Source organism: Homo sapiens, chromosome 18, assembly GCF_000001405.40.
Source record: "Homo sapiens chromosome 18, GRCh38.p14 Primary Assembly".
Lineage (NCBI taxonomy): Eukaryota > Metazoa > Chordata > Mammalia > Primates > Hominidae > Homo > Homo sapiens.
Window position 1 is genome coordinate 13,217,330 of NC_000018.10, and position 25,652 is coordinate 13,242,981.

At 50.5% G+C, this 25,652-nt stretch overlaps 1 protein-coding gene and 1 long non-coding RNA gene across 36 annotated transcripts in view, besides 3 other annotated features; both read left to right on the forward strand.

The window, feature by feature from the left end:
- Nucleotides 52-101: a silencer, noted in NCBI's record as "silent region_9332". NCBI's record gives its function as "represses an Ori minimal core promoter by ATAC-STARR-seq in GM12878 lymphoblastoid cells {active_cell/tissue: GM12878}" and the evidence as "EXISTENCE:reporter gene assay evidence [ECO:0000049][PMID:35858748]".
- Nucleotides 222-591: a silencer, noted in NCBI's record as "silent region_9333". NCBI's record gives its function as "represses an Ori minimal core promoter by ATAC-STARR-seq in GM12878 lymphoblastoid cells {active_cell/tissue: GM12878}" and the evidence as "EXISTENCE:reporter gene assay evidence [ECO:0000049][PMID:35858748]".
- The window catches only part of LDLRAD4 (low density lipoprotein receptor class A domain containing 4), a 435,073-nt gene continuing 409,773 nt past the window's right edge, over nt 353-25,652 (forward strand). For 12 of the 35 annotated variants that reach the window (XM_047437786.1, XM_047437787.1, XM_047437788.1 and 9 more), the window contains exon 1: nt 1,431-1,659. The gene's annotated coding sequence lies outside the window, so the exon portion shown is untranslated. Of the gene's footprint in view, nt 446-642; nt 766-885; nt 943-1,430; nt 1,660-21,874; nt 25,099-25,652 lie in introns of those variants that run through there. The other 23 variants (XM_047437773.1, XM_047437776.1, XM_024451260.2 and 20 more) reach the window with 5 other exon arrangements.
- Nucleotides 22,214-24,747, forward strand: C18orf15 (chromosome 18 putative open reading frame 15). The gene has a single exon (NR_146617.1). It is a non-coding gene; the product is annotated as a chromosome 18 putative open reading frame 15 (long non-coding RNA).
- Nucleotides 22,359-22,993: an enhancer, noted in NCBI's record as "H3K4me1 hESC enhancer chr18:13239687-13240321 (GRCh37/hg19 assembly coordinates)". NCBI's record gives its function as "activates a minimal SCP1, AML or CMV promoter by ChIP-STARR-seq in primed H9 embryonic stem cells {active_cell/tissue: H9 hESC(primed)}" and the evidence as "EXISTENCE:reporter gene assay evidence [ECO:0000049][PMID:30033119]".

A 25,652-nucleotide genomic window follows, 5' to 3' on the forward strand; every position in this document is an offset into this window, starting at 1 on the left:
GTTCCCCGTGCGGCCGGCGGTGGGCGCGCGCCACGCGGGCCCGAGCCCTGGGCGGGAGTGCGGCCCCGGGTCCCGCGGCCTCGGCGCCCGCGCGCCTCCCCCACTGCCCACCCCCGGCCTCCGGGCCCGCCCCCCGCAGGGGTCGGCGCAGCCTGTGAGCCGGGGACCCCTGAGCCCCCGCCACGGCGGCCCCGGTACCCGCGGCCTGGCCGCGCGCCGGGTCCCCACCGCGGAGTGGGAAGGAGGAGGAGAGACTGGAGGAGTTGGAGACAGACACAGCCGCGGCGCGCAGTCACGGCTGGAGACAGACGGCGGCGACGGCGGCGGGAGGCGGGACACTCCCCCCTCCGGCGACTGGAGGCGGGACACCTCCCCGGCGGCCGCAGCGCCGCGTCCCCTCTCTCCCCGCGCTGAGGCTGCGGACCGGGCCCGGCGGGATTAGCAGGCGAGTGCGTTGGCCCTGCCCGCTCCGCGCGCCGCCGCGGCCGGCCGGGGATCCCCTGCAAGCCACTGAGCCGCTGCCGCCGCTGCAGCCAGACAGGCTGCGGGTGCCTGGGAAAGTGGAAGCAGGGCGGGGAGCGCGGGGGAGGCCCGGGGGTGAGGTCCTCAGCTCTTAAAGAACCCCGGCGCGCCGCGCTCCCCGCCGGCCCGCCGCGCGCCCCCTGCCGCGCCCCGCACAGCGCCCCTCCCCCTGGCCAGCAGGGCCGGTGGCCGCGGAGCCGCACTGCGGGCAGTCCCCGCCTCCGCTCCGGGGGGGCGGCCCAGGTGAGTGCGGACCCGAGGTGGCCGCAGTGGTCGGGGCTTCTGGCCCAAGTTCACCGCTGCGCTCCGGAGGGAGGGGTGGCGGGGGACTCGGGAACCGGACGCTTTGGGAACTGGACGTCCGCGAGCCTGCGCCGTCGGCTGGGGCCGGAGGGAGAAGCTGGGCGCCGAGCGCGCGAGGTCTGTGAGGCTTGGTCCGGGTGGGCTTGCCGGTGGGCACGGCGGGGATCCGGGGCTGGCCCGCGGGCGGGGTTACGCCGGTGGAGGGACTTCGCCGACCCCCACCCCGTTTTCTGTTTCCTGGTGCCCTGGGGCGCAGGGTGTCCCGCGGTTGCAAGACTGAATTCTGCACCGCCCGGAGGCCAGGATGGGCGCGCGGATGGCAGCCCCAACTGTCTCCGCGCCCCTAGGCCTCGGCGAGCCGTGGCGGGCAGGGACTGGAGGTCAGCGGGAAGCGGGAAGATCCTGCAGGACCTGACCGGGGAGTTTGCGGGAAGGAGGGGGCGGGCCAAGCCCCGCAGCCCCTCAGTCCCGCATCCTGCACCGCGCGCTCCCCGGCCCCGGCCCCTCGGGCCCGCTTCACCCGGCGTCCCCCCGGGTCCCCCCGCGCGCGTTGACGTCGGTCGCGGGACCGCCCGGAGCTCCCGGCATTGGCTGGGAAGTCGATTGTCTGGGGCTGCTGCTGTTGCACTTAGGCTGGGTCTCCGAGCCCCGGAGGAAGCAGGCGTGTGTTGAATTTCTCTCTGCCCCTCACCTTGGAATAAACAGGAAGCGACAAGCACCCAGCCCGGCCCGGCACTTGCCTTTGTGAAGGGGTCTGCCCTGCACAGCCTTTAGGAAGCTTCCTCGGGACCCCTTCCCGGTGCGCCGCCCCGGGTGGGCCTGGGGGCGCGCCCTGTGAGTACACCGGTGGAAGACAGTGGGTTCGGTTTAGGTTAAATCGCTATCGTGGCGGAGAGGGCATTTGCTTGTTTAAACTTTTTTTTTTTTTTTTTTAATTGGAAAAGGAGAAGGTTTCCCGATGAGGCAGAGGTTTTCAGGACGACAGGGACGCATGGTGGGTGGGCGGCACTGGGGGAAGGCGCATCCGAGAGTACAGCGTTCTTGGGTCACCTACCTGGAGGGACACCTCGTCGCCAGTCAGGGCAGCTAGAAGCTCTTTAAAGCAAGCAGGACTCCTTAGCTCTGCCCAGGCACAGGAATGGTTGCTGTGTGCCCATAGCCGCATGAACTAGCATGATTTTTGTTTTTCCCCCAAAATTTTTTAATTAGCTAGAATTAGATAATTTTGATTTGCTTCTTTTCTTTTCCTCTGTGTCTTGGTCTATTCCCTTCTCTTTTTCTCTTTTCTAATTATTTTGGCATCTTCTCATCCCCGGACCAGCGCTGCTTTCTAAATGTTAATTACCATTGCAATACATATTTATTGAGGGCCTACTATGTGTTAGGCATTGTAGGATGTGAGGTAAGAGTAGCTGCACAGAATGTGGGTTCTGAGCGCTAGTATTAGTAAGTTATTTGCAGTAGAGGTGGATAGAGATGGTGAGCAGCATTGACTCTCAAAAATAGGGTCCTATGGCTGGTAAGGAGGTTGGTGCCTTCTCGAAGGGCTAGTGCTGGGAAGCTTCCTTTTAAAAACGGCCCTTTCTGCCGGTTTGGCTAGCCAAGAATGGCATCCTCCTCTCTGTATCTTCCCTGGAGCTTCAGGACTGAGTATTGAATGACAGAGAAGGTTCTGCAAAGTCTGCACAGGGAGACTGCCATTGCATCAAGTCATGTCTGCATTCTGTATATGGTATTGTCTTTTCTAGTCTTTAACTCGAGTGTGTTGTCATCTGTAACTCTCCCTTTGTACTCTGCACAATTCTTCTGGAATATAGTCTTTGTGTTCAGTCAAGGATCAGAGTGTCAAATCTGAGTCATTACATAGACAAATGAGGATGTCTGAGTATTACCCATGTATATTTATTGAATTATATTTGGTTTCCCATCAACCCTTGAAATGTTATTTGATGGACCTTTCTAAGCAGTGCTTTTTAAAACAGGGGGCTAACTTCCTTATGATCTTTGAAAGCTTAATTCTTTTTAAGAGCTTCATTTTGCTATTGACATTGAACACAGTGTTAGGAATTAGGGCTGGGAATGTAAATGCCAGTAAGGGATTTGCTGTAATGGAATTGTAGCTACCTTCCTCCCTTGTTTTAAATGACCTCTCTAATTTCTTAACATTCTGCTGTTACCCTTGGAAGGGCTTGCCATTGTTGGCCATGGTCCTGGTTCGTGTAGGTTTGTATTTACATTGGAGAAGACTCTTCCCGGCAGGTTTTTAGGGCTGTCTCTTGAATCCTCTCATGGGCTTGGTTTGCAAGACCACAATCCTGCAGTGGAACGCAGCCAGTGCCAGCTGCTTATTAAGGGATTTTGTGCCAATTTGTTGGCACATTATTTGAGACTCCTGCACCCCACCCTACTCCCACTGGAGTATATACATACATAGACAAATATTTATTTTCCCCCAACTGCTGACAGTGTTCTAAGAATAGTTTTCTTGCCTGGCACGCGGAGAGCAAGGGCCCGTCTGCAGAGGTGTTTACAGTTTGGGACTGTGCTGTAGTCTTGGTTGACTTAGCAGCCTGGCAGACCAGCCTCATAGCTCCTGGGACGCTCTCTGTTTTTGCTCTGGGCTGCTGCAGGGGTAACCTCCCTGACTGATAGGGAAGCACAGTCAGAGGAGAGTGACTTTTGCTCCTTGTGCATGGTTTCTGGCAGGCAGTCCAGCAGAGATCCCTGAGCTCCTGACGTCTCTGCATGTAGCCAGCATAAAGTCTCCTTGTGGTGGGTGGGAGGTGACTGCTCTACGTCATCACGTAAAACCAAAGCCACCTCAGGGCCCTGGGCAGGAATTCTTGAAATTGTAGACTGCTCTGATCTTTCTGGTAGTCCTTGCCATGTTTCTTCTCATCTTTCTTTGGAATCTGGGCTTATCCAGTCTCTATGATGTGTCCTTCTTCCTGTGTAAGAGTTAGTAGAGAAGGAAAAATGTTATCCCTCAAGAAGTGATAAAACATTGTAAAAGAAGAGCGCACCATATTAACCTGGAAAAATTTTTGGAAATAGTTAACAGAATGTATAGCGGCACATGGATATTAAATATGAATAGCGGCAAAATTGCTATGTAGTCCAAAATTATTCTTTTCTTTCTTCCTTCCTCTCTGTCTCCTTCCCTCTCTCCCTCTGTTCCTTCCTTTTTTTAGGTCTCAGAAAAAAATCTCCTGGAAGCCATTATTTTCTGATGTCAAAGAGACTTTCTGCCTATATGAACTGTGTTAGTTTAGAATTACATCTTGACCTATATTACGGGTGTACATGGAAGATGAGTCTTAAGTTTCAAAATAGGAATGCAAAGGTTCTGTCTACTATTTGAAAATTTAGGCCACAAGACCTGCCACTTTTTAGGGACATTTTTTGGGGGGCATTGTTTGCTTCATTGTTAGGCAGAGAAAGGACTGAAGCTAGTACCTGTACTATTAATTATGCTGAAAATATTGGGTTTGAATTTTCAGTTAATGTCATTTTTTTCCATCACAGGAGGAATTGAAAATGATGTCTGTATTGTCACATATCCATGTGATTTAAGAATGGATTGCTTTTCTTTTGAGTTCTCACTAAAAATGGTACTTTGGCCTTTTAAGCTGTTTTTGTGAAGACTTTTCTTTCCACCAAGCTTGTTTTCCAGATAGGTCTTGGAGATTACAAAGAACATAGATATAATTTCTCCCTTGATTGGCAGCTGCGAGCTTTCCCGGACAAAAATAATGCTGCACTGTGCCAAATGGTTGACTTTTCTAGAATAAAAACTCTAAAGGGTATGCAAAAAGTCCTCTGGTTAATATATTGGCATTCCCAGAACCCACTAACACTCCGGCAGCCTGCCAGACTCCACTTAACGAGGACACAGAATGTCTGGCTCAATCCCCATGAGCAGACGGGGGTGGGGTCTGGATGTCCACACCCTTTATTAATTTTTAATGACTGTACTTTTGTTTTGCAGATTTTCCTCTGTACCCCCTTCTCAACCGTCTCCTACAACGTCACTCCCCCCATCCATTTATTTACTCATTTACTTGGCATCGGAAAAATGTCGAGCTGTTCAGGGTTAAGGATCCTGCTGAGGGATCATTTCTGTTTGCATGGGTTCTTTTGTTGTTGGTTTTTTTTTCTTTTTCTTCCTTTTTTTTTTGGAAGAGGAAGAGAGAAAAGGAACAGAAAAGATGACAACTATTTTTTTTTAAGGATGCTTTATTGTCTGCTGGAAAAAGAGAAGCATTTACGAAACTTTAAGTTTGTCAGACAGTTTATGTGACAGTGCAAGTTGGTGCTTGCCAAGCTCCAGACAGATTGTTAATGTTACATGACAGGGATAAATAAATTACCGCTGTCTGCAACACGCTTGCACTGCAAACGCACTCTGCAGCCGGCGGCCGGCTGGGCGCCGCTCATGGGCCTGGTGTGCATGCAGCTGCGCAGAGGGCCTCTGCCTGCCGCCTAGAATTCTGTGCCTCGGTTCGGAAATGAAAAGGGTGTGCCTTGCTTTTATTTTTGGCTCTACTGCAGGGCAGTAGAATCCAAGGAGCAACTCTGTGTCCTTTATTTTGCTAGGCTGCTCCGCCTCCTCCCCTGCCCTGGCCCCACCTCTGGTCCACACTCCCGTTCTTCCTCTGAGCAGGGAAATCAGGCACCTAGCTTCTTCCCAGGAGACCTCAACTTTGTTCTTAGCTGCCCAGGGCCTAAAGTATCTCAAAGCCAAGTTTCAAGCTGTTTACAGTTGTGTTCTTTCTGCAGGTGCAGACACTGAGAACAAATTGTCTACGATAGATAAGGCTGTACTGGCCTGGGAGGGCCTGGGTGGCACTCCTTGGGCATAATGTACTTTCATCTGGGCAATTTGGAAGCTCAGCTGGCAGAGTGACAGGTGTAATGAACTTAATGGTCTTGCCCTAGTTGTTTGCGGACACACAGCTCATGTTACAAAGCCACCTCATACCAGGGGCCCCTGCCAAATGATTTGCTCTTCTCTTTGTGGATGGGACTTGGGGACTGGACGACTGAGTGGCGTTAAGGTAGGGAAGGGGGTGGGTGTGAGTGATGTGTGTTTGCCCTCATCTGCTCTGTTCCTAAAAGGACCTAGAGAGTCTCCTGAAAGTAGGCCTTGAGAGAAAGAAATTCTTCCCACTCACACTGGCTAGCCATCCTCCATGCCAGGTGTCGCGAGGACCCTCTGCAGATGTGCTTCGACTTCCTGCCTCTGGGGTTTGCAGAATGGCAGGCAGGCTTTTTGCCACACTGTGTGGCTTCCTGGTACACTGCTGGCCTGGCTGCTGGGATTCTTCAGAAGAGGGCTGGGCCGGCAATGCACAGCCAGGCATTGTTCTCGGAGTCCGTGGCCCCAGGGGCCAGCAACCTGTGCACAGAGCTGCAAGGGAATTTCCATTGGAAAGTCTCTCTGCTTCCGAAGGCAGCCGCTGGAGAGGCTGTAGGAGGCCAGGCTGCTTTCCGAAGGGCTCCCTGACCTCTAACCAGGGCACGTGGGCAGATAATAATAACAGCAGCTCCAAGTGCTTCTGTAGCCTCTCCTGTGTGCCAGGCTCTGTTCTGAGGGCTGCCATACACTGATTCACTAATCTAATCCTCACAGCGGCCCTGTGACATGGGTCCTCCTGCCATCTGCATGTTACAGAGATGTCAAGACATTGCCCAGAGTCACCAACTTGTGAATAAAGGGTGGAGCAGCCTGGGCAGTATCGCTCCAGGTTCTGGGATCTGCCTCTGGAGCTAAATGAGGTGGGACCTGGGTCAGGGATTCTTCATCTGGGACCACTTACTGGCAGGGTGCCATTCTCTTCTTGTCCCCATACAGGTCCCACTGGGACTCTATCCAGCCAGCAAGTTCAGGGTTTTGTCCTTCTTGCCTCCGTGCTGTAGCCCTCCCTCCCCAACTCCCTCCCCTGTTTTTAATCCTAATCTCTGCTCTCTGCCTGTTTTACCTGTGGCAAGAGCCTCAGTTATGAGCACTGGACCATGGCAGCTTTGTCTCTGTCCACCTTATCCCTTGAGTTCCTTGAGAGAAAGACAAAGCAACAGTCAGCAGGAGTGCTGGTATTGCCAGATATTTCTTCTGCACTGGTCCTTAAAACCACTTCCATCAGCCTCCCCATGGCACCTCTGGGTGTAGCCTGGTGGAGTGTGACTGCCCGGTTCCTGGGAGCAGCTAACTGCCTGGGTCTGGGGGTGTGTGCTGGGAATGCCCCCACCAGCTGTCTCTTCACTCGGAGGGATCCAGTTCATCCCAGGACAAAGAGCACTATAGTTTCTTTCTTTCTTTCTTTTTTTTTTTTTTTTTTTTTTTGAGACGGAGTCTCGCTCTGTCGCCCAGGCTGGAGTTCAGTGGCGCAATCTCGGCCCACTGTAAGCTCTGCCTCCAGGGTTCATGCCATTCTCCTGCCTCAGCTTCCCGAGTAGCTGGGATTACAGGCACGTGCCACCACGCCCGGCTAATTTTTTCATATTTTTAGTAGAGACGGGGTTTCAGCGTGTTAGCCAGGATGGTCTTGATCTCCTGACCTCATGATCCGCCCGTCTTGGCCTCCCAAAGTGCTGAGATTACAGGCATGAGCCACTGCATCTGGCCTACAGTTTCTTTAAAAATGAAAAAAAGTTATCCCATCTTTAAGAGTCTCTCTTTTTTTTTTTTTTCTTAGATAGAGTCTCCCTTTATTACCCAGGCTGGAGTGCAGTGGCGTGATCCATCTCAGCTCACTGCAACCTCCGTCCCAGGTTCAAGCGATTCTTGTACCTCAACCTCCTAAATTGAGTAGCTGGGATTACAGGCATGCACCACTACACCTAGCTATTTTATGTATTTTTAGTAGAGACGGGGTTTCGTCATGTTGGCCAGGCTGGTTTCTCACTCCTCACCTCAAGTGATCCGCCCGCCTCAGCCTCCCAAAGTGCTGGGATTACAGGTGTGAGCCACTGCGCCAGGCCAAGAGTCTCTGTTTTGCTCCATGAGGTATAGGTAAATGAATCATGCATATTGACGTGTACGTCCTATGAAATGTTGTCCACCTTGGACAAGCTAAATCTTTGAGATTGTGGGACCTAAAGGGAGTACCCAAGAGATGCACATATCATGGGCCTAGCAGGACAGTCAGCTCTTTGCAAACTGGTCCACGGTATCAGGCAGGAAAGGGTGTCCCTCACAGCTCTTGAGCCACCCCCAGCAGCTGGGATGGATGCTGACCCCTATGTAGATACTACCAGGTGTCCCACATGTTGCAGGGCATTTCTGAGCCTTTGTGGCATGGGGCTAGCCCGGCATGGGGCTGATTAAGTTACGGTTGAGGAGGTGAAGACCTCTAGAGAGACTGTCCTGGTCTGGGCCCTGTCCACTCTGTCAACAGCTCTCAGTAGCCACGCATTGTCATGACCCAAGGTGCAAGGCCTGTCTTGGGGTAGCTGCTCCTAGCAGCATCTGTGGGACAAATAACGTTTTCTTTTCCTGATACATGTGTACTGAAGAGAATTAGGAAATAGGGAAAGAAGGAAGAAAATAAAAATCACTGAAATTATCTATGATCTCACTGCTAGAGATGATTAGTAGGTTAGTAGATTCCAGGTTTATTAATTAATTATAAAGTCATTTATGTACTTTTTAGGAAGCTTAGCATTCTTTCATGAATATTTTTCATGTGATTTAAATATTCTCCAAAAATCCTACTTCTAGATTGTATAATATTCTATTCTATGGTTATATTGTTATTTTTTTAAAACCAGTTTTAGGACATTGAGGCTGTTACCGGTTTTCTCTGTTATAAATATGATTGCATTGAACGTCTTTAAACTTTTTTTTTAGAAATTTATTACATAACTTGATAATTTAAAAAAATGGAGATGGGGTCTTGCTCTGTTGTCCAGGCTGGAGTGCAGTGGTGTGATCTCGGCTCATTGCAACCGCCATTTCTCAGGCTTGTGGCATCCTCTGCCCTCAGCCTCCTAAGTATCTGGGACTACAGATGCTGCCATGCCTTGCTTTTTTTTTTTTTTTTTTTTTGTAGAGACCGGGTTTCGCCATGTTGCCCAGGCTGGTCTCAAATTCCCGGGCTGAAGCAATCTTCCCGCCTTGGCCTCCCAGGGTGCTAGGATTACAGGCGTGAGCCCCTGTGCTTGGCCTGAACATTTTTTAAAACATTGTTTGGGTAGATTCTTAAAAGGGAAATTGGGGGCTATAAGACTTTTAAGGGTCCTCCAAAAATATTGCCAGATGGGGCTTTCAGAATGGGAGAGGCAACTTAGATTCCCACAGAGAAGAGGGTGACTGCACCCTTGTCAATGCCGAATATTATTTAAAAAACCTTTGCAAATTTGGCAGTAAATGATATGGGCACATGACGTTTAAATTTTCTTTCCTATCTTTTTATTTTGAAAATCTGACTTTGTGTCATCTGGCTTATCGATGAAAAGAGTTTTGCTGTTTGCTAGAATTTTGTTAAGGCCAAACATCATAATGTCAGTGGATGATCTCAGTAGGTGGGGTAAGACCTTTGTGCTTTTTAAAATTTGAATAAAATAAAATAAAATAAAATAAAATAAAATAAAATAAAATAAAATAGAATTAAATTCTACTCAGGTAGGTTCAGGGCAATAAACATTCTAATAACATGTCTTTTAAACAAATTATAGGATACGATGGGCATAGACTGCTCTTGGTCTTCCCCCAGCCTCCTCATCCTCCCTCTTTAGGGGTAGCCTTGAACTTGCAATGGAGAATGAGGGCCAGGAGGGGGTGGAGTCAGCACCTGGCTGTCTGGATAGCCCCACCATACCTTGTTCAGTCGCTTCTCTTCATTTCAAATGATCCCTATTGGACCTCACACTCTTTGCTAGTCTTGCCCCTAAGGATGCAGACAGAAAATTCATGATGGGCAGACAGAAAATTCATGATCCTCCATACTCCATTCTTGTGTCGTCTGTGGAGGACCTCCACATCCTCTGCAAATGTGCTAAAGTTTTCTGCTTTCCTCCAAGGCATCAGCCCTTCCAGAGTTGCAACAACTATGAACAGTGCCTGACCTCTTAAGCTGTTGCTCCTAAAGCTTGAGAGAGATGAAAAAATCACTTTACTAGGTGGTGATGAACTAATTAAAGACAGTCTTTCATTGAGGGGTTGGAAGCAGCTGGAATGGAGGGTGCTTACCGTGCTGGAGGGAGCAAGATGGCACCACTTTCTCTAGGGCTGGTCATGATCGGTGTGGTTTTGTTCACAGGCACCTGAGCACATCAGGTGGGGAGACCCTCATGTACTGTGCAAGGTGCTCACCTGCTCTTTGGTGTATGCTGGGGGTGCACTTCCACCTGGCATTGCCTGGTGGACAGTGAGTGGGTCCCACAGGACCTGGTGGGCCCATGTATTAGTCCGTTCTCATGCTGCTATGAAGAAATACCCGAGACTGGGTAATTTATAAAGGAAAGAGGTTTAATTGACTCACAGTTCCACGTGGCTGAGGAGGCCTTGGGACACTTACAGTCATGGCGGAAGTGGAAGCAAACATGTCCTACTTCACTTGGCAGCAAGAGAGTGAAGTGCAGAGTGAAGGAAGGAAAAGCCCTTTATAAAACCATCAGATCTCGTGAGAACTCACTATCATGAGAACAGCACGGGGGAACCACTCTCATGATCTATTCCCTTCCCATGAGGTCCCTCCCCCAACACATGGGGATTACAATTTGGATTACAATTCAAGGTGAGATTTGAGTGGGGACACAGAGCCTGAACGTATCAGCACAGTTCTGTGTTTTGTACCAAAGCTTTCAAGGAGGTGCCTAGGTGCGTGAGCCCAGGTACTGCAGGTGCAGACGGCAGAAGCTCAGCTGGTGATGCTGTGCCCCATCTCCCTGGGTTGAGACTGCAGACTGGGTCCTTCTCAGCTCTGCTTGGCCTGCCATCAGCACCACACTCTGTCCCAGGTGCACACCTGCCCTCACCTGTGGCAGTGCTGAGGCCTTGGAGATGGATTCCAAAAGGCTGGAGATGGTATGAGGCCTGCGGAGTGGAGATGGAGTGTGCTGAAGGCTGCTAATGGGGTGGCAGTCCTCCAGTGGTCTGGCCGGTGGGGTCCCTCAGTGTCTTTTGGGGAGTACGCCTCTGCCACAGTCCTTGGCGGTTCTCCATTTTCCTCAGTGAGGTGGTGGCTCTGATGTCACTGTGAGGGTGCTTGCCATTGACCCAGAGGGCTTTGGGTGCCTGACAAATCCACCTTGTGTTTGTTACTGGCTGAGGTGTGCAGAGCTGACCGATTTCTGTCTGATTTGACCTTGCTGTTTGGCTTGCTCCTGCAACACAGTCCCTGCTTTCCTAGTGGGGACGGGAGGCCTTCTGGATACAATGTGTGCAGGACTTGAGGAAATGTCGGCAGTTGGTTGGCTCGGTTGAACATTTGTTTTTCTGCTACTTTGGCTATGAAGATAAATCTTGACCCCTAGGCCAGGCACAAGGCTGGAGTTTGAGACCAGCCTGGGCAGCATAGTAAGACCCTATCTCTACAAAAAAAATGTTAAAAAATTGTGCCCCTAAAACACTTAGCTTTCCTTCTATTGGGTTTGAATATGACATTCAAAATTGTTTACTTCTAAACTAGACGTCCTGGGATTTTGCATTTTTTCATCTGAAGAGTAATGTAAAAATAATAAATGTTGTGTATGTACAGTTACAACTAGCTATATGTAGTAAATTTAGTCCAGAAAAATCATGACATTTGTTTTCTGATAAAGTTGAACTTGGAATGAAGCGGAGCAGTTGTTATCTGATGGACTCTTGGTGCATTACCCTCTAATGTGAATCCTCATCCTTTGGTTGCTGTAACATTGTATGTTGGAGTTTTATAGCTGGGGCACATTTATGTGTCTGAGGGAATGGCTTCTGTTCTGCCATCTGCATGGAGGAAGCTGTCCCCATTGGACCCACCGAGGAGGCAGCGTCCAGGCTGCAGCGCCAGCCTGTGTGTCAGCTGCCACGGGGTGACTGCATCATCCGTGGTGTCCTTGGGACGATTCGGGTAAAGGCCTCCTGAGGGCTTGCCATGGGCAGTTGCTCAGTTATCCTTCTAGCTGTCCCTCCTGGGCCCCTGTGCTGCCGGGCCCCTTGAAGGCTGTGCAACCTGGGGAAGGTCACTGACTCTCTAGGTCTCAGTTCACCTCTGAAATAGCTGTTTGCCCACCTTGTAGGTTTTTGAGAGGATTAGATAAGATCATATGTATGCAGATCAGGTGGGACAGGCCAGCTACCACAGCGAGTGCTCAGTAAAAGGCAGCTCGTGAGCCAAGTGTGTACTCGTGAGACATCTGCCCTGCACTGGCACAGTCAGAGACCCAGTTCCCGCCTTTTGGAGACATAGAGACCAAGGAGAAGATAGAATATGTGTGGTGGAAGCAATTAGCAAGTGAGAGTGGTTTTACAATCACGTCTTGAACTAAGCAGTTTTTCAAGAAAGGCTTTAGATGTGGAGGAGAGTGAGGCCCCCAGGCCCAGAGGTGGTGGCTCTGACGCTTCCTTCGCTCCCTCCCTTCCCTCTCCTTCTACTCTTTCCTCCTGTGTGCATTTTTATGGAGCACTCAGGACGTCCACGCACTAGGCATAGATAAAGACATGGCTTTGTCGCCAAACTGGTGGAAGACAGGTGTGCCCACGGTTGCCACACAGGGCTAACAACCATACCAGGGAGACAGAGGAAGATGTGAGTAGACCTGCTGTCTCCTGGCTTCCTGAGGGCTCAATGTACTTTGGTCAATCAAGGGAGACTTCATGGAGGAGGCCAAATGCTGTTGTGTGAATGTTTGTGTGTCCCAGAAACTCCTCAATTGAAACATAACTCCACTGTGATAGTATTGATAGTATTGAGCGATGGGGCTTCTAGGAGGGGATTAGGTCACGAGGCTTCTCCCTCATGTGTGGGATTAGTGCCTTTATAACAGAGGCCGGAGGAGCTTGTTCACCCCTTCCACCACTCGAGGACTCACAGAAGGTGCCATCTATGAAGAATGGGCCCTCACCACACACCAGATCTGCCGGCACCTTGATCTTGGACGTCCCATCCACCAGAACTAGGAGCAACACATTTTTGCTGTTTCTAAATGACCCCATTGAAGGTATTTCGTTACAGCAGCACGGCTGGACTGAGACATAGACCTCGGGCTGAGACTTAGCAAAAGAACAGATTTTTTTTTAAGGTGAACAAACAGGGAAAGAGTAATCTAGTGGGTTGCAGCGAGAAAATATTAGAACGCATATACTTATTTTTACTCCATTTTTCAAACTTTGTATATTATGTGTACAATGTACTATTACCATAGTATATGTATATAATTTATAATTTATAAATAAATATACATGACCTGTGTGCTTAGACATTTTTGCTTGTAGGAGTATATGCTTCAGAAAATTGGGGGCCCACAGGCGGGCAGTGGGAACATATGTTAAGACAGGGGGAGGGCAGGGCGGGCCATGCATGGCTGCAGGTGGGGGAAGAGGTGGGAGGGTGTCTGCGAGTGTCATGGGTAGATGCTACTGCTTACAGTGCCTGAAATTTCAAACTCAAACTCTAAATTACTTTTGTAGCTTTCAGTTGTTGTGAACTCAAAATCCACAGACCATATCTTGCTCCTTTGCCGCCCTGACTCTCCTAGGCTCCTCTTTCTGGTCCATGCTATCTGAACCCTCCAGGGCGAATCCTGACACAGGTCGGGGAGGGATTGAATACACCAGTTTGGTGATCAGAAATGTTGATAGGACTGCTTTATTTGTGTGGAGAAATCTTCCTTAGGAGGGTGAGATTATTTATTCATGCTCGGCGCAGGGGGACCCTTTTAGGGCCCACATGCATTTATAAGAATGGAGACTTGTAATCTGGTGAAGCTCATTCCTGATGTCCAGGGTGCTGCGGGGCTGCAGGGATGAGTGAAGGTTCTTTCCCTGCCTGCATGGAATGCGCGCCACGGGCAGCATCGTCTTCGAGTTCAGAGGCGTATAGATGTCTATGGGTGAGGCAAAAGGCAGGTGGTATGGGAGGAAGCGGGAGGGAGAAGGGCAAGAGGGGTCTGGACCGGTTTTGCTTGAGAAGAAATGGCAGTGGACACATGGCTCGTGTGAAAGGTGGGTGCACGCAGACAGGCCAGAGGCTTTTGGGAGCGGGAGTGAACCTGGGCACGGGGCGCTGCTCTTGGTGAGCATGTCGGGTGGCCCTTGCCCTTTGGGTCACCATTCCTCCTGATTGCGGCCTGCCCGAGATCGCGTGAGTCTGGTTCTGGTGTGGAGCGTTTCCTCCCATCTTTGTCGAAAACCAAATCAACCAGCCACGAATGGTAAAGAAAAACAAGCCCATTAGAACACCTACCTTGATTTCATATCGAATTGTTTGCAGTGGGGAGCTCTGTCTCGACCACAGTGCTTTAATAGTTGATATTTGTTTACATTTCACAAAACGCTTACATTTCATACTGCATTCAGTTCACGACAGGAAGCCAGGTTTATCACTTTCGCATGGGAATAATAATGCCTTCTATTTGCAAAACGTGTAACTATTTAAAGCTTTTCACAGACAACATCTAATTTCATGTTCCTTGGCTTTAAGGAACAAATAATCAATGAAATGTACATAGAAGTATAATTAATGGATTTGTTTCTTCTTCTCTAATGTGGCTATTAGCTGAATGAGGAATTCAGGCCAGAGTTTATGTTATTTTAATGTGTGAAACCTAATTGGAATGTGATGCCCAATGGTTGTCCAAACCACATGGCAGGCTGTTTTCTGAAGGTCATTGGTCCCAGGGATGGCAGCTTGGTGGCTGGGCAGGCACCCACCTAGTCGATGTCATTTTGGGAGGTCAAGGGTATAGCACTAAAAACTGAATTCGAAGATACACATAGTTACATCAAGGGGACTGAGGGGGCACCCCGTGAAGCTCTCTCCTGGTGGGCCATGCAGGATGGAGTGTGGCGCGAGTACGGTGCAGGCTGGGGCCACCGCAGGGGCCTGCTCTCATCTCCTCCCTGTTAGAGGAGCGTCTTCTGGGCGCTCTTGTGGGACTTAGGAGTATGTCCCAGGTCCTGAGCAGTGCAGAGACTTGGCCTGGTGCCAGCAGTGAGGTGGATCTGCCAGTGTGGCCCCTCTCCTGTCCCACTCGCCTCCCGCCTCTGTCTGTGGCCTGTGCCCCTTTTTGCCTGGCATGGTTTGAGCTTCTGTCCTGGTACAGTTTGTTCGGCTGTGGATGCAAGTTGACTTCAGTTCTGTTTCTCCCCTTTCAACAAAATCACCTTCCTTCCCCGCGTGGCCTTGTCCGGGGGCTGCTGCTGCCCCGTGCTGTGCTCCACAAGCCTCCGTGTAAATCGCCTTCCTTCCCTGCGTGGCCTTGTCCGGGGGCTGCTGCTGCCCCGTGCTGTGCTCCACAAGCCTCTATGTCACCTCGTGCTGCCGCATCCCTTCCCCAGCTCAGCTATTCACTGTTGTCTGCAGCTCTGACTCTTCCGCTGTGGCTGCCAAGTCCCCTGATCCCCTGCTTGCGTTCCAAGTGGAAGCCGTGTGCGCCGTTCACACTGGCTTCGCAGCTTCCTGCTCTCTCCTCCGCAGCCCAGGAAGCGCCACCTCCAGCCATGCTCCCTGGAAGCTGCGTGTGGGAGAGGCGCGTGCCAGCTGTGATGCTCGTCCGAACTCAGCTCCGGACCCGAAGCTGGCAGCAGGGAGAGAAGGCTGCCACGTCTGCTGGCTCTCCCTGGTGTGGTCCTCCTGGTTCCCTGAAGGGAACAGGAGCCAGCGTCCTCATGACCAAGGCTTCAGCTCATTGTTAAAATGATTAGGTGGCAGGTGAGGCGCTTTCTGATCTCCCCTGGTCATGAGTTGTGTGATCAATGAGGACTCTAGACGATGGCAGAGGATCTGCTTGTCGCCACACACAGTGCGTTAGGGATGGAGCTTGCCACCAGTGGCGCCACCTCTTTGCAGGCGCCTGTCCTGAAGGACGTGAGCGGGCGAAGTGCTCTTGGGTCTGCTTGGACACGGGTCACTGGCCGCTAAGAAGGCAAATGCCATGCCGTTCAGATACGTTCTCTGCTACTGGATGATGTAGTGCTGCTGTGATGTAGCAAATGCATTGGCTTGTTGACTGTTAAGAGGTGGCAAGACATCAAGGGACCCTCTGGCTTGCTCTTGGGTTGGCAAGGTTGGCAGAGGGGCCCACTGCTCAGAGCCCAGTAAGAGGCGGGACAGCTGTGTTTGGAAGTGGGCCAAGGAAGCCGGCACCCTCTTATTGGAAATATTCTCCATCCTGTGACCTGTTTGTCGCTGTCTCTGGTGCTCCTGTGACCTGTTTGTCACTGTCTCTGGTGCTGTTTTATGGAAACCTTCTCTAAGCAAAGATGTCTTTGAGTATTTGTTCCCCTTCCCTCCCTGGGTGATGCAGCCTGCTGGTAAGGTGTGGCCAGCTTCAGAGCCCAGAGGAACGGGGTCTCTCCCTTAGCTGTCAGTGGAGAGAGGTTTCTGAGCCTAGAACCTTATACTCACAGCTGGAGAGCTTAGAGGCAGAGTTTTGTCGCAACTGTTGAGACTGATTATGTATTTCCATAGAGGACCTCGGCCCAGAACTCCAAACCCTAGGCTCCTACACCTACCTGCCTACCGGGCATCTCTACTCATAGGCACCTCCAAGCCAGCATGTCTAAAACTGAACTCTTACTCCCCCAGCTGCTCCTCCCTGCCCCTCAGCCCCCCAGCCCTGTCACTCCCTCACTGTCCCATTCCAGTCACCAGCATCCTTGTCTGCCCGTGGTTCAGGCCACACATCTCAGACACTTCTTTCGTCACCTTTTCCCATGGCCCAGTGCATGTTTGAAACCTATTTGTTCTGCCTCCAGCGTTCGTCCCAATATGATCACTTTTCACTGTCACCACCAGCAGTGCTCGTGTGTCCTCTCTCCCTGGGTTTCTGCGGGGCCTCTGACCGGGTGCTGTCCTCCCCACCCGCGATGGTCTGGTCTGGATGCAGCAGCCAGTGACCCTTGTAATCCCTGATGGCATGCCCTGTGCCCCTCGGGCCTCCCTCCTGCTGAGGCTCCTCACCCACGTACCCCCTCGCCGCACAGGCCTCTGTGGTTGCCCTACCCAGAACTCTCCCTGGGTGCGCACATTAGTCGCCTGGCTTTGCCCTAGGAGGCCTTCCCTGGCCCATGTGTCTCCTGCACGGGGCCTGGTCATTGTGAGCTCCAGGAGGGCAGACAATCGTCTTCTTGTCCCTGTCCTGGCCCAGCATCGGGCTGCCAGGACTGTTTGTTGAATAAACAGATGGACTGTGAGCAGGCACCTGTGAGCAGGCCAGGGGAGGATGGTGGGCAGGTCCACAGACTCGTAGGCCTGGATGGGGCTCTGGACTCCTCCCTTCTGCCAACTTCTGGGTGGGCACCAGGTGTGGGTGTGAGGCCATCTCACCTGAGCCTCCGTGGGTTGGGACAGGCCTCAGTGCAAACAGAAAGTCCTGCAGAAAGGCTGAAGTATGAGCAGCAGTGAGAGAGATGAGCCGGGGAGGCTGAGCACCTTCCATGAGCCCCGCCCCACCCCATGGACTGCTGCTCACCTACATTACATTCTTATTTTACTGTTTTCCTCTAAGTAAACTACCTACCAGAAACCAGGAGAAGCAATTGTTTTTCAGACCAACTTTTGCCCTTCCATTCTCTCCTCCCAAATTTAACTTGCTGGCTAAATACATTTTGGATAAATTAGTTATTTATTTGCTTAGAAACCAATTTATCAAGCTGTAAAAAAATCATCAGATTAGGTTGGCACGGTGGCTTATGCCTGTAATCCTAGCACTTTGGGAGGCCAAGGTGAGTGGATCACCTGAGGTTGGGAGTTCGAGACCAGCCTGACCAACATGGAGAAACCCTGTCTCTACTAAAAATACAAAAAATTAGCCAGGCGTGGTGGCGTGTGCCTGTATTCCCAGCTACTTGGGAGGCTGAGGCAGGAGAATTGTTTAAACCCGGGAGGTAGAGGTTGCAGTGAGCTGAGATTGCGCCATTGCACTCCAGCCTGGGCAACAAGAGCAAAACTCCATCTCAAAAAAAAAAAAAATCATCAGATTATTAAAGTTTATTAAATTCATCATATGTAGATGCTTTCTCTTTAGACGAGATGTCTCTATCATAACCTTGATTCTCCTAAGCTGTTTTCCTCTGTTCTTGGGATCAGGAAAAGTTCAAAGTAGAGAAAATTATGGTCTGTGAATCTTTTTTCCATCTTTTCAAAGAAGACTAAATGTTCGACAGCTACCTGGAAGTCTGACTCACCCTCCAGGCATCTGACTGTGCTTTTATTCTGGTATTAGTTTTGTTGCCTTGGATTTAAAATCCACAAGGATTGTGAAAACCAAGTGCGGAAGAAGGAGAAAAAACTGAAAAACCCCCCACATTCTAAATAGTGGTGAGGACTCCTAGCAAATTCATTCCTATTGATGGCTTTTAGCCTGTGTAATAGACCACTAGCCATGTTGCATATGCGATCGGCTTTGGTTGGATGAGTCGACTTTATTTCCCTCCCAGTCTGAGGACACATCTGCAGTCCTGCCCCTGGGGGAAGTGCACATCCAGCCCTGGGGTGGGTTGCTTTTCTTGCAGGCTGGGTGCTGATCCTTGCCTCCGTTAGGAATCTGTTTGAACCTCCACCCGGAGAACAGACTGGAAGGAAATACACCAGGACATTAAAAATAGAGGTCTTGGCATATAGTGCTAAGGATGGTTTAAAAAATTCTGTCTTTTCATCTTTTCCATATTTTCTACAATGATCATGTGTTCCTGTTTTTATAATGAGAAAATTCCCAGTTAACTAGATTTGCTAAGGGTGTGGAATAAAAAGTCACTTTCTGAAAAATTGTGGAAAACAATTTGATGTGTGTCTTTTTAAGCATTTTGGAAGCGCGGTGGAGTTGCTATGGGGATAGCAAGGTTTACTCTCTACAGAGAGTGGTTCCATCTGGCACCCGTCGCTCCCGAGCTGGGCTGGGCAGTTCTGTGCAGAGCAGTTTCTCGTTAGATGTGGAAACAGTTACACAGAGAAGCACTGTTCCATCTTTTCCCCCTGGAACCATCATTTTGCTTTGATCTAACAATAGAAAAACTTTTTTTTTTTTTTTTTTTGAGACAGAGTTTTGCTCTTGTTGCCCAGGCTGGAGTGCAGTAGTGCGATCTCGGCACACTGCAACGTCTGCCTCCCGGGTTCAAGCGATTCTCCTGCCTCAGCCTCCTGAGTAGCTGGGATTACAGGCATGCACCACCACCCCAGGCTAAGTTTCTATTTTTAGCAGAGTTAGGGTTTCTCCATGTTGGTCAGGCTAGTCTCAAACTCAGGTGATCCGCCCTCAGGTGATCCGCCCTCCTTGGCCTCCCAAAGTGCTAGGATTACAGGCGTGAGCCACCACGTCTGGCCTAGAAAAACATGTTAAACTCCTTTCTGTACCCTCTGCTTCCTCTGGGTGCTGGCGTTGCCTGTGTGGGGCTCGGTCCGTGTTTCTCAGTCTGGAGGGTTTCTGAGCTGCTGTTGGAGTGGGGGTGTCTCCTGCACCTGGTGTTCCATGTCGGACTTTCAGATCACAGTTGGAATTAATTTTCTTTTGCAGATGTGTTGACATCTTCCTCTGAGGTTACGTTTTAATTCCCCTTTGCTTTGTCCCTGGAACTGTGGACTCCCTCCCTCCCTAGTCTTGCTTGGAACCAGCGTGGTTCCATCTCAGTTTAGAGATGAGGATTGTAACATTCCATAAGGGACTGTGCTTGGGGGCATAATGTGTGCAGGTAGAGTTCTGTTTTATATTTAATGGAGAATGAAACACAGTGACTTAAGAAGCAGCAGGTGTCTCTGTCTTTGTGATCTTGGGTTATCCCTGGAGGCTCCACTCATAGAACGCTTGCTAGGCATGCTGGCTTGGGCTCTGGAGGCCAGCTTGCTCTTGTTCTGGGCTGTGGCCTTTGGCCAGTCCGAGTCCTGCTCCCTCATCTTGAAAATGGGATCATGACATCTGCCTGCTTGCAGGGTTACTCTGACTGTCAGATGAGATGGCGCAGGTGCCCGCTGGGAAATGCAGGGGACTAAGTGCATCACCCCACGTCCTGGGCACTGGCAGAGTCACTGGTGTCCTGGCTGCTTCCTCCTGTGATCTGATAGGATGTGGCTCTCTGAGGCCACCGTAGATGGTCTCTTAGTTCCCAGAGCTTCTAGTTCATATACTTAGTACCAAGGAAGGTTCTGTGGTTCATGGGCTTGTGGACAGTGACTGCCGGGTGGCTGATTTGTTCTTGCATTGGAGACAGAGGTGATAATTTCACTCCTGGTCCCACGGCCAAGTGGAACTGGGGTGATCTGTTCAGTGGAAAAAGCAGTTAGTTCGAAGACATTCAGGGAACGTGGATTCTTGTTCCTAGCTCGGTCTCCAAGTAGCATTGTCCCCCGAGCAACCAAAGATCCATTCCCTCAGTGCATACAATTGTGTGACAGCCCTGCACCAGTCACTGTGATCACTCAAGACCTCTGGCCTCAGTTTCCCCATGGAGAACCCCCTTCATGGAGGCATTGCTGTCCAGCAGTTTGCATGTGTTCTTTCATTTGACCCATGTAATTCATTTATGAGGTTGGGAAGTGTAGTGATCAGTCCCATTTTACAGATGAGGAAACTGAGGTCTAGGGAATTTAGCACCTTGTCTGAGGTCACATGCTGTTAAGATCTCGTCTCTAAAATGGGAGGCTGGGGTAGAGTCTGGTGGCCTCCTGGATGCCCACCCTGGTTCTTAAGGTCAATGTGTCTGCCTCCTTGCGAAGTCACGGTGCTTGGGCTGATTGTGAAGGAAATGGACAGTGGAGTGAGGCTGTTCCTAGCCATCCTTACCCACAAGCTTGCTCTGAAAATCCACCTAAAACCCCAGGAACTATTGGGAACTGTAAACTAACAGCAGGTGCCAGAATATCTGCCTTTCCCAAGTCTGGAGGGCATGAGATCACAGAGCCATCTAAGCATGAACCCAGGATTTCTCTTCCTTATTTTCCAGTATTGGAACTGGAGACAGATTGCTCGATGACTGGTCGTGGTTTATTGTAAAACGAGAAGGAGCCCCCTCTTAAAAACATTCTGCTGTTGGGCTGGTCCCCTTCATGCATTGCCTCTTGTTGATAGATTTTTTGCTCAACTGGAAGGATATTAGAGGTGCCTGTGCCACGCAATATTTTATGATTGATCAGTGTCTTGAAGCACTGTTGGATGCACCTGATGCCTTCTTTATTTGGGCTGTCAGTGTTCACACAAAAGGAAGACTTTTTACATCTACTCTGTGCTCTTTCTGTAATAAGCTGGGTTATTTTGGAGAGCAGGTGGGAGAACGTGCAGATGTGGGACTCAGCACCCACAGAACTGAGGGGTGGTGTGGTGCAGGCCAGAGGGCGTGGACTGCAGAGTCCTGCCAGCCTGGGTTCACATCTCTGTGAGGTTTGCACCAAATCTGGGTTACTTTTAGGATCCTGGAGAGACTCAATACCTGGGAGGGGCCTACACATAGGCAGCCTCTCCCGGGTGGTGACTACGCCTGTGTTTCTGTGTGGAAATGTGATTTTATAATGTCACGTTCCCAGGGAGCTCACTGAGATGCCTCCTGCTCCTACTCAACAGCCCTAGCCCCTGTTCCTGCCGAGGTTCTGGTGGGAGAGGGGACATTAAGATTGCTGCTTGTAAGGCCAGGCGGGTGGCTCATGTCTGCAATCCCAGCACTTGGGAGGCTGAGGTGGGCGGATCACCTGAGGTCAGGAGTTCGAGACCAGCCTGGCCAACATGGTGAAACCCTGTCTCTACTAAAAATAAGAAAAATTAGCTGGGCGTGGTGGCGCACACCTGTAATCCCAGCTACTCAGGGGGCTGAGGCAGGATAATTGCTTGAATCTGGGAGGCAGAGGTTGCAGTGAGCTGAGATCACACCACTGTACTCCAGCCTGGGCCACAGAGCAAGACTCTGTCTCAAAAAAAAAAAAAAAAAATTGCTGCTTGTAACTGCGGGCTCGAGAGAACATTTGTGACCCATGAAGCCTGCGGTTGGAGGGGCCTGGCGTTAGGGAGAGGACACTGGAAATGTTAATGCAGCTAATCCAGTGAGATTAGCCTGCTGAGCTCAGGGATTTGAGGGAACAAAGGGGAGTGCAGGGGCCACTTAGAAGTTTAAACAGACTCCCTCTCCCTTTTCACCTACGTCTTGTGTGAGGATTTCAATAGCTCCTAAATGAGCTTGCCTGAATGGCTGTGGCACTCTTTTAAATTCTAATTAGCTAGTGAATTAACCAGGATGAATTTTGATTAGTCAGAATGAATTACAGGTATTAATGATCATACAGTCTTAGAGCAAATGAAAGTAGCAGTTGTCCAGAGGGGGCTTGGGCCAGCCATCCGGCTGGAGAGACCTTCAGTAGGCTCAGAACAGCTGCGCTCATTCACTCACTGTTCCACTTTCTTGTAATGCCTGCACCAGTCACAGTGTGGACTGGGGACCAGACGCAGATGCCCTGGCTGTCCTTGGCGGGCCTGGAAAGAGTGGAGCCCCAAGTTGCCGGCTGGCAAACCTCCAGCTGTGGCCCGTGGGGTTTGCTCCATGGTGGCCTGGGCCACGCAGGCTGTACCAGCCATGAGATGCCATGGAGCCAAAGGCTGCGACTGTAGCTGTTTGTGCTGCAGCCAACCTTTACCCAGTTCCTGACTGCTGTTTGTTTGGTTTGCCATGGGTACTTCTGGGGACCTCCTGGCAGCATGCTGGCCCGTGCAACTCTCCTCATGCCAGTTGTAGGGTCCCTGTTCCTGTTTGGCCAAGGAAGGGATTTCCTAAGTGTATACATATTTATTTAGCTTTGCCATGTTTTGGATGGCCTTGGACATAGAAACTCATTGCACATTAGTTAAATAACTAGGCCAGCATTCTGAAAGACCCGACTCCAGACCTACTTCGGTGATGGAGATGGGCACATGCAGGGTCAGGGTGCTTTGAAAGAGTCACACATTCACCTTCCAACAGAGCAGCCTGAGGCTTCCCTAGTCTTGCAGGGTCAACTTGCTGAAAGCTCAGCCCTTGGCCCCAAAGGAGCTCTGAGGCCGCAGGCCCAGAGCCCCGATGTCCCCGTGAGCTGGTGGCAGGGAAGCGGAAAAAGGCTTTCACACCGCCTCCCCCACATATGCTCACAGCCTCCCCTGGGCCCTTTCTTGCCTCTCACATGGCCATCCTGTGGGTTCTTTGGCCTGGGAGGTGCTGCTTCAGCCTCCCTCGGCCTTGAGGTGCTCCAAGACAGCGTCAGCACCTGGGCTAGAGGTCCGTGCTGCCCTGTGCATCCTCAGAGTTTGACTGTAGTGTGCATGTGTGCATGCATGTGCGTGTGTGTGCATGTGTGTGCTTGTGTATATGTGTGCATGTGTGTGCTTGTGTGCATGTGTGCATGCGCATGTATGCGTGCGCACCGTTATTTTCTAATGGACTGTGCAGGCATCTGTTCTCCTCATGGACCAGGAACTCAGTGATCAGGGACTCCCCTGTTTACTTTGATATTCCAGCTGCCCTCCAGAGCGCCTAGCACATAGTAGGTCTTCAGTGACTGCCAGATGAGAGGATATTTAAATGAGACGGCAGCTTTGGAGGGATGACAACAGATTGTGGTCTAATCTCACGATTTTTGCCTGAGAGAGAATTGGCCCTACTCGAGGCGGGCTTTTTTTTTCTTTTCTTTTCTTTTCTTTTTTTTTTGAGATGGAGTTTCACTCTTGTTGCCCACGCTGGAGTGCAATGGTGCAATCTCAGCTCACTGCAACGTCTGCCTCCCGGGTTCAAGCGATTCTCCTGCCTCGGCCTCCTGATTAGCTGGGATTACAGGCATGTGCCACTACCCGGCCAATTTTGTATTTTTAGTAGAGACGGGGCTTCTCCATGTTGGTCAGGCTGGTCTGGAACTCCTGACCTCAAGTGATCCACCTGCCTCGGCCTCCCGAAATGCTGGGATTACAGGCATGAGCCACTGCGCCAGGCCAAGGCGGGCTTTATTTGTGTCTGTTGGACACCTCACATGGCACCTCACAGGGCGCTGGTTTATAAAGACCCAAACCAGTGTCGAGTTCCATGCTGGCCCCGGCGTCTGCTGTGTGCTTTCGCTGTGTGTATACATGCGGAAGTTCATTCCGGAGGCTTCCAGGGTAGCCTCCCGGGTGCTGCAGCGGGTCTCCCGCTCATCACTACTCTGTACACAATGTCTTGATACGCTGAGGATTGAAATGGAGCAGTGATCCTGCCTCAAGGTAGACAGCAAAACCCAGGCTATGTGGGAGTCAGTGTGGTAGGACTGAGGGCGTGCCTGAGGGACGGATGCAGGGGCAGAGAGAGCAGCAGGTGAAGGCTGGGCCTCCTGCTGAAAGCCGGTATTGCTGAGACTCCAGGGTCAGCCTTCCAGCTCCTCCTCCTGACTGACCGCTGGCAATGTAGGGGTGACTGTCCCAGCCTCCTGCTGCAGGGCGCTCTGCCGTCAGTAGAGAATCCTCCTCTGTCCCCGCGGTCCCCTCCCCGCTGAACAGCCTGGATCCTGCTTTCACAGGGACATGCGTGAAATGGGTCCTGCGCCGTAATTACTCCTGCTGGAGACCGGGATTGCAAAGATGACTGTCATGTTGTCTCGTGCATCTTACATCTTTTACTGTGATTAAAAATAAATGTCGTGGGGTTCACGTCCCACAGACCCTTATGTACTGCAGAGGTCAAACTGGGGCGGGTTTCTCACACGCGTCATCACGCGAGGCCAGTGTCCGTCGGGGTGTGTGTCTACAAGCACGGGGCTTCGTGGCCTATCTTTATGAACCCTCCAGGGTGATGTGAAGCCAGCCACAAACAAACACACACATCATCTGAAAACAATAACAAAAGATCGGGGTTCTAGGAAAAAGAGAAAATAGTTTAACAGAGCTTCATTAAACCAAGAACGTGCTTCTGACTTGTTGACCTACTGGAATCGCTTGTTTTCACGTCTGCAGGAAATTCATCAAAACAATTTTGTCTAGGATTCCAGTATTTCAAGTTTTACCCGGTCACGTCAGTGCTTGATTTGATCATCTGCATTTTCCAATTAAAGGTTAAGATTTTAGGAAGCTCTTTGAAGAGGTTGTTTAATTCCTGCTGGTACTTTGGTTTCAGGCCTGGAGCTGTGGCCGGGGTGATCGGGTGATTAGTGGAATCCAACTAAGGTAAGGCAGGCAAGACCTTCGTGGACTTCACTTTGATATGGAAAAACCACTTTCACACACTTACTAATGATAGATTTTTAGAACAATAGTAAAGAGGTTGGTAATATTTTACCCTTTAAAATCCCATGTAGTCTGTATAGTATATAGAAAAAGAAATAAGAACTAAATGCAAATGTGGTATTTTTTTTGCAAGCCACTCTGCATTGTTATTTTTTAATTAAAAAATTAAAAAAATAGATTTATGGGGTACAAGTGCAGTTTTGTTATATGGATATATTGCCTTGTGGTGAAGTCTTGGCTTTTAGTGTAACCATCACGTCAATAGGGTACATTGTACCCATTAGATGTACTGTTTTACTTAACTCTAATAAAGGTAATTTTGAAGTAGTTTATTTAAATCTTATCCAACAGCTTTGGCCTTTCAGGCAGCTCTGACCCCAGCTGTTCGACTTGGGTTTCAGCTGTTACACAGTGGGCTTATCCACCTACCCATCCACCCATCCATCTGTGCTGGCAGGAGCTTTCCCGGGCTGGGTGCTCTTCTCCCTGCCGGC